Genomic DNA, 18,629 nt, shown 5'->3' with positions numbered 1-18,629 from the left:
CTCAGGGGTCCTTTATATTTGTTTGAACCTTCCATGTCTAGCTGTGGAAAAGACATATTTCTTTTTTCTCTCCAGGGACAATAAAGGCAGGAAAGTAAAACTCCTGGTAATGTCATATCCAGTCAAACAGGAAGGTTTGTAGGCTCAGGGCTGAAAGGTTTCCACAGCTACACTGAGCCAATATGAAAATAATTTATTTCACTTTCATCTGTTTCATTTCCTCCAAAATTATCATTCAGGTCCCTGACTCCCTCATCTATGAAGACAAGAGGAAACATTTTATAAACACAACAGAATACAGTGTTTAAAAAACACATGAGATATGGAGAAACCTGAACTTTCACTCATTGCTGGTGGAAATATAAAATAGTGCAGTCACTTTAGAAAACCATTTGGCATTTCCTCAAATTGTTAAACACCAAGTCTCTATATGACCCAGCAACTCCATACTTAGGTATTTACTCAAGAGAAGTGAAAACGCATGTTCGCACAAATACTTAAACACAAATGTTGACGGCAGCATTATTCATGATAGCTGAAGAGTAGAAACAACCCAAATGTCCATGAATAAAAAAAAATGTGGTATATCTATAAAACAGAATATTATTTTGCAATAAAAAAGAATGAAGTACCAATACATGCCATGACATGGATGAACCTTTGGAAAACATTAAACTAGATGAGAGACGTCAATCAAAAAAGACCACATATTACATGACTTCATTTATATTAAATGTCCAGAACTGGTTGATCCATACAGACAGAAAGCAGATTAGTAGTTGTCTGGGTCAGGGTTGAGGTCGATCTGTCAAACTACATGGGAAGAAACGAAGTTGAAACTATTGCCTAAAGTGAGACATCTGGCTTTTCCACAGTTAACAGAAAAGTATCTCTTCAAATAGGATGACCTTCCTGAGGAGAGCAAGGAAGAAAGAAGCACGTCAGGGGTCTGTGGTAGCAGCCAGGCCTGCCTTGCACCTGCCAACTTGGAAGAATCTAAATGCAAAACATTTAACATCCCTCATAGTGATCCACATGAACTTAAACCAACGTATACAAGAAAGACAAAGAGGTTTCTCATGCCAGGCACAGAACTTAGGTCTACACAGCACCCTTTGCAAACTGTCACCAGACACCTGCTCCAGTTATCTTGAATCAGCTACAGCCCCAATCTTCCAAAGTAAACTGAAGCAAAGATCCTCGGAATCACAGTGAACTTCAAAGGGAAATTTAGCTTTGTGCTAACGCCTCAGATGAAAAAAGGCAGGCCAAATCAAACCAGGTACGTTAAGTGTGATATCTGCCTGATATCTTGGTAGCAAGTTGATTTAATAATGGAAATAGGTGACCACTGCTGAGAAACAAGCTCTGAGGTTGCCCTTTGATAGATGGTGAAATCCAGGAAAGATGGCAGATTCTGCTTGCCCAATGCTTAAAATCAGGACAAGGCAAAGTATGTCACAAACACAACAGGGAAGGGGTCCAGCTCTGGGAGAAAAATAAACTGTCTTCCGACTGCAGCATCAGCTCTTCTGTGTTTTAAAATAAAATTTATAAAAGTAAGCTTCACCTTCCCTCCACCCACCGTAAATAGTGAGAGAAGGCCACACATAGGCAAGACAAGCATTTACATATACGTATACCCTGCAACCCTTTATTTAAGGGCTGAAACAGATTTGAGTCCCCTGGTATTACAATGTAAACAATTTTTCTTTCCATATAAGTATGTGCTGCACTCACAGCTGGTGGTGGTGTCAGTTTACATCCTCCTTTAGTTTTAGGAATAGCAGTGGGTAGAGGGATAGTGGCCTGCAAGTCAGACAATCAGAGTCCTCAACCTGGCTTCAACATTAACTAACAGGATAACCCCAAAATACTCTGGGCATTGCATTTAATCATGTGTGAAACAAGGTGGGATTATCAGTGGTTTTCTCTTTCCTTTTTTTTTTTTTTTTTTTTTTGGTAAGCTGTGAAATCATTTATACAAATGAAATCTCATGGAGAATCTCAATATATATAAGAGCTTAAAGCAGACAGGCTGCTTAAAGCTGGAAGGGATACGGGGGAAGGGAGGGGTCTCCCTTGAGGCATCTTCTGGAATCCTGGGACTCCACGGCACATAATATGAAAACCACTGACAAGTTCCCCTGAATACAAAAAGTCAATTCCACTTTTAGTAAAATACGTCTTTAGAACTTTAACTGAAACCACAGAAGACAAAATGGAAAGACTAACGATTTCTAATCCCTACTCCTGGGGAGGGGGTGGTGTGTGGAATGGGGGGCAGGGGCAGAAGTATTACAAGGGGTCCTTCATTCATAAGCATGTGAATGTCTGATACATATACACATGCCTATTTTTCCAATGAATTTATATGCTGCGATTGATAAAAGTAAAATTCATTTAAAGTGTTAAAGAAATTCAAGGTCATGTGAGAATCTGATTCTTTTTTATTAAAAAGGAACATTCTAAAAGATTGGGAGCCACTGCGACAGAGAAATAAACAATATTCCATCTGAAATAAATGATGTAAATTGATCTCTTAAAAATACTAACAATGGCCTTTAAAAAAAAATTTAAAGATTCTACTACCTACACTGACAAACTAGTTAGATCCCTTGTTTACTAGCTGTGGCTATTAGAATGCTGCTTGGGCAGGATTATGAGGCATGTCCAAGCTGGGTAGGAAAGAATGTCACCTTTGATAAGCATTGTCTAGCATGGCAGTGGAAGGAATAGGAAGTGGGGGAAGAACATGTCTCCTGTATTGGTACTCCAAGCTACGCCAGACAATCATCTTTATCAGGCAATCATCTAAGATATGACAATTAGCAGAGACCTGTGTTCTAACTTGACTCGGACATTATGCTAAAACACTGGAGAGTTTTCAACAGCATAAGCCATAATATGTGCTTCAAAACTTTGACTTAATTACTTATATTTGTTCACCTTGTGACAACTGATAGTATAAGAAATTCTCATTTAATACTATTTAAAAAAACAAACAAACAAGTCTGACTTCAAAAAAGTTTATAACTCCCGACCAGATGACTATACTAAATGAATTATGGCATTATTATGATCACATACTTTGTCATATATTTTTAAGCCTAAATAGTAGAAACATGAGAACCTCAGTAAATGCAAGCCAATAGCAGCTACCAGTCATGGTAAAAATTAATGATGTTTTATCTTAGAAACTATGTATCAAAGTTTTATCCATTTAGAATCAGCCCCATTAAAAAATGAAACCTACATAAAGAAAGTTACAAAATGTGAATCTAGCAATCACATATTTCACTTAAAATAAGAATTAAGGAGGAATGGCTAAATCAGAAAATAAAAGGAGTGTTTTATATTTCTTAAAATTTATCTTTCAGAAGTTCATAAAATAATATGGAACTCATCATTAATGAGAAAAATATGTTTGAATATTTTTAGTCCACAACTTTACTAGTCATAGCAGGGGAGAGGCTGTTTAAAATCATTATTCTGTGTTATATTAAAGATTGTTCACAAGATTTTTTTCAGTGCAAATTCAAGAAATATAGAAAATTAAGATAAAACATCTCATAATCCATTTTACACTGGAGGTGTTATTTATTCATAGAATGTGAGTGAAGTGTCTGATTATTTTACTCAGAAAGGCAACTGACACTCTTGGAAATTCTGTTCCTTCGGTCAATTGTGTAGAGTCCAATCATCTGGCATTTGAATGATGCAAGAAATTAACAAATCAACTGGGGAGAAATATTCATTTTTGCAAGCTAGGAAGACAATGAGTTGATGTTTTGGGAGAAGACAAATGTGACTTCCTCCTCTGCAGCAGCAGCCTTCCTCCAGAGAATCCTCTTGTAACAACTATTACACCACTGGGTCAAACGTGTCCCCCAAACAAATGCACAGGGACCTACCCACCAACACCTGCCCTAGAAGAGAGTGCCACAGGATGTATGTGCATGCATGTGTTTTCTTAAATACAGATGGAGCACTTTAAAATAGAGTCCCAGAAAATAAAATCTGAACAGAACCATAATACTCAGTATGTCTTCTCTAAAGTGTGCTGGGAAACACTTCATTATATTCTGTTACTGGGATTATTACAATCATCTAAAATTTTAAACATGAAGCTCTCTGTGCTTGGAAGAAGATTTATTTCTCTGTTTAAATTACCTAAAGCAAACCTAAAGTGCTTTACCAAACCTAAAGCATTTAAAAGAAAAACCATTTCTCCTACAATATTGGTTTATGATATATTGACAAAAAGGCAATTGGACCGTAAGTACAGCATTTTGTAAAATTTAGGTGCTGTACAGGCAATGCTGCAAATATTTTAGACAAGCATTTGGATCTGTTTTACAACACCATGTATAAACAAAATATACTGGGCATAACATTTCTTTTATCACATAAATCATTATAATATAAACTTCTCCCTCTCTCCTCATAATATTTGGATTATTTCATTGTTCTACCTCCTTATTTTCCAAACAAGTTTAGTCCAGTGGAAAAACTATGTATCATTTCCCTGGTTTTTATGCCTTCAGAAAAGCCTTCTTTGTAGCAGTCACACCATCAGCAGAAAACTACTAAGATTAAGAAAACACTAAGGCAAACTCCAGGAAATGCAAACTGGCAAGAAAATGACAGAAGCTAGCCTGAGGTTTCCCTCCAGATAATGAGGAGAGGGTATGTTAAGATAATTAATTATGCGAAACTGAAGCAAGAGACCCTTAATCACAGAGAAATATTTTAGATCATTTAAAATGTACCTGGAGATATCGTAAGTTTCCTTCCAAAGGGTTTAATGACTGCTTATTATATTTATGAAAAGTGCTGGCTTATTTGCATTGCTAATTACTCCCATTTCTGGTCATTTCAAAAACATTGAGATTTAAACAGATAAATTCGCAAACAGGCCATTTAAGAAAGGAAAAATATAAATGACCTAGGGAGGAAAGTTATATTTAATAAATTTTTAAAATGCAAAAATACCATGTGATAGCTTTTGCTAGTTGTCCAATCACAGATAATTGTAATATAATAATACTCATTGTAGGCAATGGTGAAGTGAAAAATGCTTTAATGCTCTTTCACTGTCAAGAGCGTCAATTTGCAAAACTTTGTTGTTGTTTTGGTTTTGGTTGGTTTTTTTGTTTGTTTGTTTTAGAGACAGGGTCTCATTCAGACCCTCGGGCTGGGGTGCACTGGCTGTATCATAGCTCACTGCAGCCTCAAATTCCTGGGCGCAAGCAATCCTCCCACCTCAGCCCACACACCCCAAGTAGCTGGGACTACAGGTGTGTACCACCATGCCCATCTACTTTTTTTCCTATTTTTTTTTTCTTTAATTTTTGTAGAGATGGGGGTCTCCCTATGTTGCCCAGGCTACTCTCAAACTCCTGGGCTCAAGTGATCCTCCTGCCTTGGCCTCCCAAAGTGTTGTAATTACAGGCATGAGTCACTGTGCCTGGCCCCTGCAAAATCTTCCTTGAGGATGATTTGGTCATATAGATGTTCCTTGACTTACAACAGGGTTACATCTTGATAAAGCCATTGTATGTTGATAACACTGTAAGTTGAAAATACATTTAATACACCAACCTGCTGAACACTATAGCTTAGCCTAGCCTACCTTAAACATGCTCAAAAACACTTACATTACCCTACAATTGGGCAAAATTACCTAACACAAAGCCTATTGTATAATAAAGTGTGGAATATCTCATGGAATTTATTAGATACTATATTGAAAATGAAAAATAGAATGGTTGTATGGGTATTCAAAGTACAATTTCTACTGAATGCATATTGGTTTCCCACAGTGGTAATATCAAAAAACTGCAAGTGGAACCATCGTAAGTCGGGGACCATCTTTCCTTTTAGAAAAACGAAAATTACGCACCTTTTGTTTCATTTATTTCTATGAATTTATCCTAAGAAAATAATCTAAAACATGGAAAAGATGTTCATAATTTTAATGGAAAAACAAAAATGGTTATCTTGTACTGTGAACTGAAGAATCATAAGGTTCATAAATTTGGAAAGGAGAGCTTTATTTCTCATAAAAGGTGCCATCCAGCAAGCACTTGGAGGGAGGAGTAAAGAGAACAGAAATGTATGCCAAGAGGGATGGTCAAATATAAGTATTTAACAGATTATAGGAGGAGTCCTGAATATTTATGAAAGGAGAAACATGCACATGCGCAACTAAGCTTCATGCCTGTATTGGGACTTTTTGTGTTATAAAGAAATATCTGAGGCTGGATAATTTATAAAGAAGAGAGGTTTAATTTGCTCATGGTTCTGCAGGCTGTACATGGATGGCAGCAACAGGGCTGGACTTCTGGTGAGGCCCAGGAAGCTTACAATCACAGCAGAAGGTGAAGAGGGAAGCCAGTACATCACATGGCCAGAGAAGGAGCAAGAGAAAGATAGGGGAAGGTCCTAAACTCTTTTAAACAACCATATCCTGCCTGAACTGAGCGAGAACCCACTCGTCACCAAGGGGATGGTGCTGAGCCATTCATGAGGGATCTACCCTCATGACCCAAACACCTCCCACCAGACCCCACATCTAACATTGGGGATTACATTTCGACATGAGATTTGGAGGGGACAAACATCCAAATGATATTGATGCCTATTCATGGGTCATATGTTCAAAAAACAGTGGCATTAGCATGATCTGAGGGTTGAGTTTTCAGCCCTCTGATGTCAAAAGGCAAAGCAGAGGACATGAAAACCCTCACTGGACCTCCTGAGAGAGTTGGACAAAACCTGCCTAGAGATGGTGGTCAGTTTTTAGGAAGGGATGCATGTGAAACTGGTGAGCTGCCACATCGAAACTGCAAAGATGGGGAGTCCGGCCATGGCCTCAGATGATTGGCTGAAAGCGATGAAGTTATGACTCATTCGTTTCTTGTTTTCTGGAGTTGGCTTCTGCTTACTCCTTAGGAAGGAATGCTGGTTAAAGGCTCATAAGGAAGGGGCATACTAAGATGTGTCAAATCTCCCATTCCATCATGGCCAGGAATTCAATTTTTAAGGTTTCTCTGGGAGTCCCCTTGGACAACAGGGTGTCTATTCGGTCAACTGGGAGGCTTAGGATTTTATTTTTATTTCTCAGTACCATGTATAAAATGAAAATAAATGCAGTCATCTAAGAGTTTTATTAAGAGTTTTAATTACATGAAAAATGCTTATGACAACATTTAATTGGGGGCAGAATGCAAAAGAGCGCAGGTAATGTATAATCAAAAGCATTTTTAAAACTTCATTAAGATTTTTATCTATTTCTATGTACTTTTCTGTGTTTTTTTCCCCACAGTGAACCTAAATTAATATTATAACCAAAAAATAAGTTTCTGACTTAATAGTTTCAGAATGGCCTTGAAAATTCCCCATGCTAGGCACGGCAAAATTTCTCAGAGAAGGGACTGCTGTCAGGAAAAAACCCAAGATTTAGAAGTGGGCAAAAGAGATTACTGGGTATCCTCTCAATGGAGTGTGATTTGTGGTCTAAGAGGCCCTCCAGGGATGATCTTTGACTTTTTTGTTTGTAATTAGGCCAGTGGTTCTCAAAATATGATCTGAGGAGTCCTGGAGAGCCAGAGGACTTTTCAGTGTGTTCGTGAGTTCAAAACTAATTTCATTGTAACACGAGGATGTTGTCATTTTCACTCTTACTCTCTCAACAAGCATAGAGTAGAATTTTTGAGGCGCTTTAATACCCACGATGAAGTCATCATTCACATAACATGAAATAGGTTTCATTATTGATATGTTTTAAATGAAATTAATAGTTTTAAAGCTTCTTAATTCTAATTTCTAACATGATAAATATATTACACAGTAAAATCTCTTTGGGATCTTCAATTTTTAATAGAGTCAAAGGGTCCTGAAATCGAAAAGTTTGAGAACCTGTTGGACTAGACTATCTCACAGCTCTGTAGAGGCAGAAACTCACTTGCCAAAAACACACAGTAATGTAATGCCTCTTGTCCATAGCAAAACAAATGAATTTTGTCTGGTAGTGATATAATTGCCTTACATGCCTATAGAAAAGATAAGCAAACATTGCATTTTACGGCCCTTGAAAATATTAACAAGTGCTGTATACACTAGCAAATTTATTTCAGCATTTCTGATTGTGGATAGATGACAGATACACAGGCAGACATATAGATACCTGTTCTTCAAATTCTCCTGTGAACGACCCTTAACATCTTACTGGTTCCCTCATTAATTAATGAATTAAAATTGTTGGCATGTGTTTATAATTTTGAGAATCTTATTTTTAAACTCTTTGAGAATTATTCTTTAGCACCAACTATCTACCAATAGATCAGTTCCTGCATACAGGCCACAACACTGATTAAAAATAAATTAATAATTAATCAAAATATGTTTTAAAACAAATGCAAGCTATGATAAATAAGTTTTACTAATTCAACAAAACAAACCCAGTCAAGACCCTACTTTAGTTCCTAAATCTACTAGAGTATTTTTTGCTAAATGTAGCTGAAGATAATACAAACTGATTTGTCAAAACTTCAGAAAAGTAGACTTGATTTCCAATATTTCTTACTACTTTCCTCCTCAAAATAGTTTGATCCTAAAGAGTATCTACTGTTTACACCCGGCATTCTAGAAACTCTAATCTTTTTTCCAATTAATTTTAAACACTGGAATAAGAGTGGGATAAGTATATCTTATTTTATAGATGAAATATCTGGCCGGGCTCAGTGGCTTACGCCAGTAATCCCAGCACTTTGGGAGGCCGCAGCAGGCAGATTACGAGGTTAGGAGATCAAGACCATCCTGGCTAACACGGTAAAACCCTGTCTCTATTAAAAATACAAAAAATTAGCCGGGCATGGTGGCAGGCACCTGTAGTCCCAGCTATACAGGAGGCTGAGGCAGGAGAATGGCGTGAACCTGGGAGGCGGAGCTTGCAGTGAGCCGAGATCGCACCACTGTACTCCAGACTGGGCGACAGAGCAAGACTCCGTCTCAAAAAAAATAAAATAAAATAAAATAAATACCTGAGCCCCAGAATGATCAAGTGAATTACACAATCTTACATGTATCAAGAGAGGTTAAGGAAAAATCTCTTCAGGTTCTCCATTTGCACATAGTTTAGAACACTTTGAGGGCCAGGTGCAGTAGCTCATGCTGGTAATCCCAGCAACTTTGGGAGGCCACGGTGGGAGAATTGCTTGAGCCCAGGAGTTCGAGACCAGCCTGGGCAACATAGTGAGACCCCTGTCTTTATGAAAATTTTTCAAAATTTAGACAGGCATAGTAGTCCCAGCTACTCAGGAGGCTGAGGTGGGAGGATCACCTGAGCTCGGGGAGGTCTACCCTGGACCCTGTCTCAAAAAAACAGAAACAAAAACAAAAACAAAAAAACTTACCACCCGAACCTTTACAGAAAAAGTTGGCCATCCTCTCTTCTAACCTACTGTATTCTTATTTATCTCATCCCAAGGGTATCTTTTCCTACAAAATGAAGTTTAAGTTAGATAACTGCTTCTATTTTCTTTCAGTGACAACCATATAAAATTATTCTCTTAACACAATATAAAGTGTTGCGTTTTTAAAAACAGAATATTCCAAGGTAAAGATTTTAAATATAGTACATCATGTCTTTAAGGACAAAAGACCTGTCTTTGGAGAACATACAGATATGAAATAACTAGCAAAGGCTCACTGTAAAAAAGCAATTATTTCATGACCTCAATTTTTAAATCTGGTCATTTTCCAAAACTCAAAACTCAAATGTCTTTCTCCTTTAAGAATTTTTTTTCCTTTTAAAGAAGCTAAAACCTGATTCAACAAACACACTCAGGTCAAAGATCTCAGCAAATCCAAACATCACTTAATATTTTTAAATGTTATCTATTTTCTGTAAGAACTTTAACTGAACTAAACTTAAACTGTTCTCAATAATAGGAATCTGGAAAACCTGACATTTGCTTCACTGCTAAATGTATATGCTTCTTGAAATATCTCTATATACATGGACCTAATAAATTTTGCCAATACACACTGTTTATCACATAGTTTTTCTACCTCTAGTGACCAGATAGTATAAGACATCAATTATTTTCACTTTAACAAATTTACAGGAACTAGAGTAAACAGAAAATCATGCTGTAACAAGAGTTCCAGACTGTGGAAAATTCTACAGGACAAAATAACATGGAGGATTCTCATACTAGTTGTATTAGTTTCTCTATGTATATGAGTAGGAAATGTTCAATAATAAAATGTTTTTAAAATCTTCATTTTCACTCCACATAAAACAAAAAAAGTAGCAACAGGAAGCAATAAATCTGATGGGGGGATCATTTTAGGAAGACAGAGGAAGTCGTGAAGCATATTTGTGAGTTGCCATTCATTCTGATGATTTTTATTTACTTATTTATTTATTTTTTTAAGAGAGAGGTTTTTGCCATGTTGGCCAGGCTGGTCTCGAACTCCTGACCTCAAGTGACCCACCTGCCTCGGCCTCCCAAAGTGCTGGAATTACAGGCATGAGCCATTGCACCAGCCCCATTCTGATGATTTTTTGGATGTTGTGTTTTCATTTTAATAATCATCAAGAGTATAATGGCATAAATGTACGTTACCTGATATGACAGGCAGAACTTTAAATGATACCCCATTACCCTTGCCCTCATATAATTCCCTTCCCCACTTTAAATGTGGATGGAACCAGTCACTATGATGAGATACCACTCTCATGATTATGTTTCATTATATGGTCAAAAGAAGATTACCCTGGGTGGGCTTGGCCTAATCAGGGGAGCCCTTTAATATCAGCCTCTTCTCCAGCTGATTGCAGGGAAAAAAATCAGAGAGATGTTCTCCACGTGGCATGGAAGAAAGCAAACATCCACACTGTGAACTGCCAATGTGGGCCATGTGGAACAGAATGTGGGTGGCCTCTAGAAGCTAAAAGCAGTCCCTGGCCCACAGCTAGTGGTCCTCAGTCCCATGGTCACAGGAAATAAATTCTGCCAACACTTCATGAGCTTGGAAGAAGCCCCTGAGCCCCAGCTGAAGACTACAGCATTTTGGCTGACACCTGGATTTTTGCCTGCTAAGACCCTGGGCAGAGAATCTAGCCACAGCATGTGCAGACTACTAAGCCACTAAGTTTGTGGTAATGTATTATGCAGTAATAAAACTAATACACCTTCATAAGCATTTTATAACCAAATAACACCACAGTATCTCAAGGCCTACCTTTGCACATGGGTTTATGATCCCATCAACACCAAGTGAGTACCTAAACATTTGGCAATTTAACTTTTAATACAGTGTTTCACAGACGATCATGAATCCAAATTTGAGAAACCTTGAGCTACATAATCCCTGTTAAATAAAACATTTCTTATCCAACACAGTTAGTTTTATAGGCAAGAGTTCATACTTGAATGCTTTTTACAATATGAAGACTTCTACAGCAGAAACATGCTGCAAAATAATCAAATGAACACACTGAAAGCACGTTGTGACCAAGCCAAAGGCATCACCAAAACCTTAGCTTGTCATCACAGCAGGTATAAAGTATAAGAAAGCTTTTTATCCTCTAATACCCTAGCTCATGATTAGGATGTATGAGAAAAACATGGATCAGATTCTACTACAACAAAAATTTCTTTATAACAAAGATTCTCATATCTCAAGTGGTCCATAAATATTAAGGAATTACCACATCTATCCTTTGTGCATGTCATACTCTGTTTATTTAGAGGAAAAAATGAGATGTACATGAAGATAACAAATGGGAAAGTAGTATTATCCCTAAGGCCTAAAAATCTAAGATTCTACTTAGTCTGATTCTTTTAAATGTTTTTTAATAATAGCTTTATTTTGAGATACAGTTTGTGTACCATAAAATTCATCCATATGCACTGTACAATTTGGTGGGTTTTAGGAGATTCACAAATATGTCACTATTACCACTACTTTTAGAACATCTTCATCATCTCCAAAAGAAAGCTATTCACGCCTGTAATCCCAGCACTTTGGGAGGCCAAGGCGGGCAGATCATGAGGTCAGGAGATCGAGACCATGCTGGCTAATATGGTGAAACCCCATCTCTACTAAAAATACAAAAAAAAAAAAAAAAAAAAAAATTAGCCAGAAGTGGTGGCGGGTGCCTGTAGTCCTAACTACTCGGGAGGCTGAGGCAGGAGAATGGCATGAACCCAGGAGGCAGAGCTTGCAGTGAGTGGAGATCGAATCACTGCACTCCAGCCTGGGTGACAGAGCGAGGTTCCATCTCAAAAAAAAAAAAAAGAAAGCTCATGTTCTGTCTTTAACTGTCCTTCTTTCTTCAATACTACGCTATGCTAATACATTTCCCTAGTAGTAGAAAGGCTTGGGCATTCAAGACTCAAAATCAACATTTAGGAAAGAAAAGAACAGGAGGTAGAAGATTTGACCATAGACATAACAAATATCTTAAAAACTCATTTGGGATTGTAGAACTTCCATAACTCATGTTGTAAACATTCCTTTGAAAGAAATGAAAATGCTCCAAATAAGCAAAACATGAAAGCACCTGCCAGGGAACGCAAAGAGCATTTCATTGGGGAAACTCTTCACCTATTGCACAGGTAATGTTTATTTCAGAAGCTGAAGACAGAGGATAATCTGAGCTTTACTTAAGTAAAACAAGACTTCTGTACTACAAAGGAAAAAACCGGGGGTTTCTCTAAGAACATACAGCATTCTGAAATGTATACGCTCAACACTAAAAACATTTTTTAAATGGCAAATGAACAAATGAATGATGTTTTAAGGTGTTGCTTTTATGGTTTATGGGATAGTCCATAAAATGCCAAGTATATTTTCCCCTAAAAATCAGCTATTTTCCTTGCTTCTGCTATGCTTGCTAGAAGCCTGGATCTGAAATTCTGTCTAAATGTTTTTTAAAGCCATTTTATTTGATCTCCCACCCCCTTGGGTCACTGTAACTCTGGGCCAAAGACAAGGTCCTCCATGAGATGTAGTGCTGGCAACATGAAACAGACTGAGGGAAACTTGAAACGGACCTGCCCACGTCTATGACGCCAGAGGAGGGTCTCACAGGAAGCTCACAGAGGTAGCTGTGAAAGAACCTAGATCCTTTCTAGATTATTTTAGATCCTTCTCTAGAAGGAAGGCTAAGAAAAGCATTTACTACTACTCTCCCGCTGAATTTTTATCTCAAGGATGCTCATGGTACTGATTATTTGTGAATGGGTAGTTTGTTTCCTTCTTTTACACAGTGGATTAAAATGTAAATTGATTCATCTACAGATTTAGAGGTTTTTCAGTAAAACCTGCCAAAATATAATAGAGCTTCAATATTATTAGAAGCATTAGGTTCAGTGTATTAGGTAGTGCACACTATATGACAGGTAAAAGACCCTTCCTTTTCACAAATTCAAAATTCTAAAACAAATCTTTTTAAACAGTCACACCAAAATGGACATGAATTTTTTTTTTTTTTTTTTGAGACAGTATCTCGCACTGTTGCCCAAGCTGGAGTAGAGTGACACCATCTTGGCTCACTGCAACCTCTGCCTCCTGGGTTCAAGTGATTTCGCCTCAGCCTTCAGAGTAGCTGAGACTACAGATGTGTACCACTATGCTCAGCTACTTTTTTTTAGAAGGGGGGTGAGGCAGGGCGTGGAGATGGAGTCTCATTCTGTCGCCCAGGCTGGAGTGCAGGAACACAATCTTGGTTCACTGCAACCTCCACCTCCCAGGTTCAAGCGAATTCTCCTGCCTCAGCCTCCCGAGTAGCTGGGATTACAGGCAACAGCCACCACACCCAGCTAATTTTTAGTAGAGACAGGGTTTTGCCATGTTGGCCAGGCTGGTCTCGAGCTCCTGACCTCAGGTGGTCCACCCACCTCAGCCTCCCAAGTTAATGGGATTACAGGCATGAGCCACCATGCCCAGCCAGACATGGAATTTTTAAAAACAAAGCTGTGCACTTAACCAGCTAGGCAGCCAGACCCAGCCCACATCTGCAACTATAACTACATTTCCCGAACCCAAGATCTTTCACTCTTCTCACCTATTTTCCCCTTTTGTTGAATGTCAGAATCACCTGAGGATTTTTTTTTTTTTTTTTTTTTTTTGAGACGGAGTCTCACTCTGTCGCCCAGGCTGGAGTGCAGTGTCACAACCTCCGCTCACTGCAAGCTCTGCCTCCCAGGTTCATACCATTCTCCTGCCTCAGACTCCCGAGTAGCTGGGACTACAGGCACCCACCACCACGCCTGGCTGATTTTTTGTATTTTTAGTGGAGACAGGATTTCATCATGTTAGCCAGGATGGTCTCGATCTCCTGACCTCGTGATCCGCCCGCCTTGGCCTCCCAAAGTGCTGGGACTACAGGAGCGAGCCACCGCACCCCGCCTACCTGGGGATCTTTAAGAATCCTGTAGAATGGGCCCCAACTCCACATCTACTGAGTCAGCATCCCTAAATATCTCTTTTTAAAAATCCACTGCGAACATTCTGATGCATATCCAAGGTGGAGAACTACCAGACCAGACAGAACAGAAGAGGCTTGGATATCCTCAGAAGTCCCACCTATCCAACTGCGAAGGAACGTTGTTTTACATTTTATATGAAAATATATGCTTCCTTAAGCATTATCTTTGCATTAGTTGCTCAAGAAAGGAACTTGGGTTGGTTTTTAAAACCTTATAACATTTTCATTTTGTACCCTGAAAATCTTATCAATGTTTTTTCTAAAAGGCAAGGCAAGTTTCAGTGTTGCCAAAGCCCAAGTTTTAGAGTCAAGTTTAAAAAACATTCTTGTTTGGGGGAGGAAAAAAAAAATGGAACATCACTGTGCTAATCCTCTTCAGAGCCCTTCCCACACTGCTGATTTGAGATAAGCTGTCATGTTTAAAGCTTAAGGTTTTTTTTCTAAAGCATTTTGGCATTTGACAATAATGACAGAGTTGGCCTTCCCTTTCCCCAAAGCCCCATCCTCCTTACCCACAGATAGCATTACTGAGCTACCAACACAGGCCATGGGCTTCAAAGCTGTTTACCTACTAGATCTGCTGGGCTTACCCTGACCCAGCATCAGTGTCTCACAAAGTCTCCTGTTGTGACCAAAGACATGTCCTTAAAATGTGGCTGGCCTCCCAGGCTGTGGTCATGGAAGAATGGAGAAGTGACCCTAAAGGGTCTAATCCACTGACCTTTACTTTGCTCTAACCAACTGCCCAAATAAATAAAAACAGCAGGGTGGCGCAGTTTCCCAGATGAATTCCAATTTATCCCTAAATATCCAGGCTTGGTTCAATGATTAAAGTCTTCAGACCATCCAAAACTCTGTCAAATGGCTCTCAACCCGGGGTGATTTTGCCCCCAGGGGACATTTGGCAATGTCTGGAGACATTTTGGGCTGTCTCAACTGGAGGAGGGGATGTTACTGGCATCTAGTGGGTAGAGGCCAGGGATGCTGTTAAACATCCTACAGTGCACAGCACAATCTGCCTCACAACAAATAATTATCCAGTTTCAAATTTCAAGAGTGCTGATGTTGGGAAACCCTGGGTTAGAATACAAAAATGGGTCATCTGCCAGCCCACTGCTAGATAAACCTTTGAAGAGACATTCATCCCAATTTAATTTAGTTGAAAATAGGAATCACAAACTCAATGTCTTCAAGGGCCAAGGAGATAAATATCACATAAACTAAGTGGCTGTGCATTAGGCACTAGAGTGTGGTAAGGTCTGTGACAAATCAGAACATAAATGCTCACTAAAATATCACTCCTTTTTAAAAATAATACTGTGCTGGCCAAGCAAAACATGGACAGCTGGCTACATTCACTCTGTGGACCCCCTGGTGGTCAGACTCCAGTTTAAAGTGGTGATCAGCCCTGCACGGTTGCATGCGCCTGTAATCCCAGCAACTCCGGAGGCTGAGGCGGGAGGATTGCTTGAGGCCAGGAGTTCAAGACCTCATGTCAAATTTAAAAAAAGAAAAACAATTAAGTAGAAACTAAAAAGTGATGATCAATTTAAACAGAACTGTATGATCACCAAAAGACTCTGTCGAGTTTCATCCCTTATATCCTACAAAACTCCTGAGTTGTGCAGTTGAGAAGAGACTGGGGATCAGATCATGGGGCTTAGCTCCAGCCAAGAACAGGATCTCAGGACACCATGCCAAGGCAGGGGCAGCCAAGGCTGAAAACTGGGGGCGAAAAATCGGAGTTCTCCCTCACCGATCTCCATTTTAGGGAAACTCAATGGATATTACTTTGATGAGTACACAGTGCCACATAAGTGAGGTCATTATTTTAAGAGGATACTGTCTTCCCAAAAATTTAGAATTTTTATCCAGAAGATAGCTTATTCTATGTGAATACACTGTGAATGAGGAAAGAGAGGTCCGGAAAGTTTAAAGGAATTGCCACGATTACCCAAACTGAACCTAAAATCAAAGAGTGTGTCTTTTTCTCTGTGCAATTGCAAAGCACCAAAAGACAGGTGAAGAGATTTCATTCAAGGTGTCAAACATGTGTGATTAAACACTCTACCAAACAGAAGTTACATGTAAATTGAATCTACATTTACTCAGCATTATCCTCCTTCCTCATTAGAAAAGTCACCCACATGTTTGCCCCACATCACTGTTGTAAAATCTCTTTATCCCCTAACAGAAGCATTAAAAGCAGGTTAAGTATTTCCACCCCTCCTTCCGGATCAGGCTGTAGAGAAGAAAGGCAAATCAGCAAATGGGGCCAGGCACGGTGGCTCATGCCTGTAATCCTAGCACTTTGGGAAGCCGAGGCAGGCGGATCATGAGGTCAGGAGTTCAGGCGGATCACAAGGTCAGGAGTTTGAGACCAGCCTGACCAATATGTTGAAACCCTGTCTCTACTAAAAATAGAAAAATTAGCTGGGCATGGTGGCGGGTACCTGTAATCCCAGCTACTTGGGAGGCTGAGGCAGGAGAATTGTTTGAACACAGGAGGCGGAGGTTGCAGTGAGCCAAGATTGCACCACTGTACTCCAGCCTGGGCAACAGTGCAAGACTACGTCTCAAAAAAAAAAAAAAAAGAAAGAAAAGAAAAGAAAAGAAAGGCAAATCAGCAAATGGAAACACAAGAAGGAAGCCCCAATGTGAATGTCCCCGAGTGTACGCATGATTTCTGTTGGAGGAATTCCTGGCCTGAAGAGACAGCATAAACAAAGGCCATCCAGAGGGAAACAAATGATAAGATAAGTGAAACCCAGCAACTCTCTCTGTCCTCCCCTCTACCTACTTCCCTCAACTTGTTCGTCAGAAAAACAATCTGAGCTTGACAGAATTACAATGTAAGCCTTCCTCTCCCAGCTGCCTCACAGCTCTCATTCTAAGCTAGAGGGTTAAGGGGGGAAGACATGCTTTTCTGTAAGGTCAGTGATGGGGCTCCCAAGATATGGAACTTGGCAGACTGGAGACAGCCATCTCACCCTGCCCACAGAGAAGCCAAAGGAGCAGAACTGTCAAACTGCAATGCAGGGAGTATAGAAAGAAAAGGTAAGGTATGGAAGAAACGTAACTTCAGACACAGCCTGAAAAGAAATTGGGTTAAATATAAAACTATATACATTTTTAAAAACATTTTAACCAGCCCTTAGCAGAAAATATCATAGGCAAGGCAGTTTCCTGCCACAGTTCCTAGAACTTCCATAGTTGGAAGTGTTACCTACTCACAGAATCTCAAGCCCTAAATGGGTCAGAGTATTTCCAGTTTAATCTCTATTCTTGATTTTTAAAAGACGAAAATATAATAGCAGGCCTGTTCATTTAACCTTCTGAGAACATGGTGCGGTCAGTCTCAGCCATTGGCTTCAATTCCAGCATTTATTTATTGCATGTCCTCCAACTTTTAGTTCACATTACCAACAGTGCTGAACAAAGTACCTCTAACGCAGAAATGACTGCCACACAAACAGGATGGGGAAACCAAACAGAAATGGTATTGTTGTTTCTTTTCCACCATCAGCCTAAATCAAATAGCAGCCACTAATAATGAGTTAACTGTAGTTGCATTTGAAAAAATAATTCCCGCGGTGGCTCACGCCTGTAATCCCAGCACTTTGGGAGGCTGAGTCGGGCGGATCACGAGGTCAGGAGATCGAGACCATCCAGGCTAACACGGTGAAACCCCGTCTCTACTAAAAATACAAAAAACTAGCCAGGCGTGGTGGCAGGCGCCTGTAGTCCCAGCTACCCGGGAGGCCGAGGCAGGAGAATGGCGGGAACCTGGAAGGCGGAGCTTGCAGTGAGCCGAGATCGCGCCACTGCACTCCAGCCTGGGCGACAGAGCGAGACTCCGTCTCAAAAAAGAAAAAAGAATTCCAAATGGGTTGCCTTGAACAGAAATGTATGACATTTTCCATATTCACAATTTCACCAACTTTCAAGAATAGAGAATGCAGCAAGTTTCTTCAGTTTAAGCTGTTTCATTTCCTTTAATTTCTTACAATTAGTTTTTTTGTGGGTTTTGTTTTTTTGTTTTGTTTTGTTTTGTTTTTTGAGACAGAATCTCGCTCTGTCACCCAGGCTGGAGTGCAGTGGCAGGATCTCAGCTCACTGC

The 18,629-nt window shown here is 39.4% G+C and overlaps 1 protein-coding gene across 4 annotated transcripts in view, besides 1 other annotated feature; it reads right to left on the bottom strand.

Annotated features, from left to right (window-relative positions):
• DAAM1 (dishevelled associated activator of morphogenesis 1) overlaps positions 1–18,629 on the bottom strand; it is a 182,739-nt gene that overhangs the window by 156,095 nt on the left and 8,015 nt on the right. The window lies entirely within an intron of this gene.
• Positions 12,551–12,720: an enhancer, noted in NCBI's record as "experimental_34577 CRE fragment used in MPRA reporter constructs". NCBI's record gives its function as "activates a minimal promoter by MPRAs in K562 erythroleukemia cells, with activity observed for both the introgressed and non-introgressed 14:59669394 variant alleles {active_cell/tissue: K562}" and the evidence as "EXISTENCE:reporter gene assay evidence [ECO:0000049][PMID:34662402]".

Source organism: Homo sapiens, chromosome 14 (genome assembly GCF_000001405.40).
Source record: "Homo sapiens chromosome 14, GRCh38.p14 Primary Assembly".
In the NCBI taxonomy this organism is placed as follows: domain Eukaryota; kingdom Metazoa; phylum Chordata; class Mammalia; order Primates; family Hominidae; genus Homo; species Homo sapiens.
Note: the sequence above shows the minus strand (reverse complement) of the source record. Positions and strands in the feature narration are given on the sequence as shown.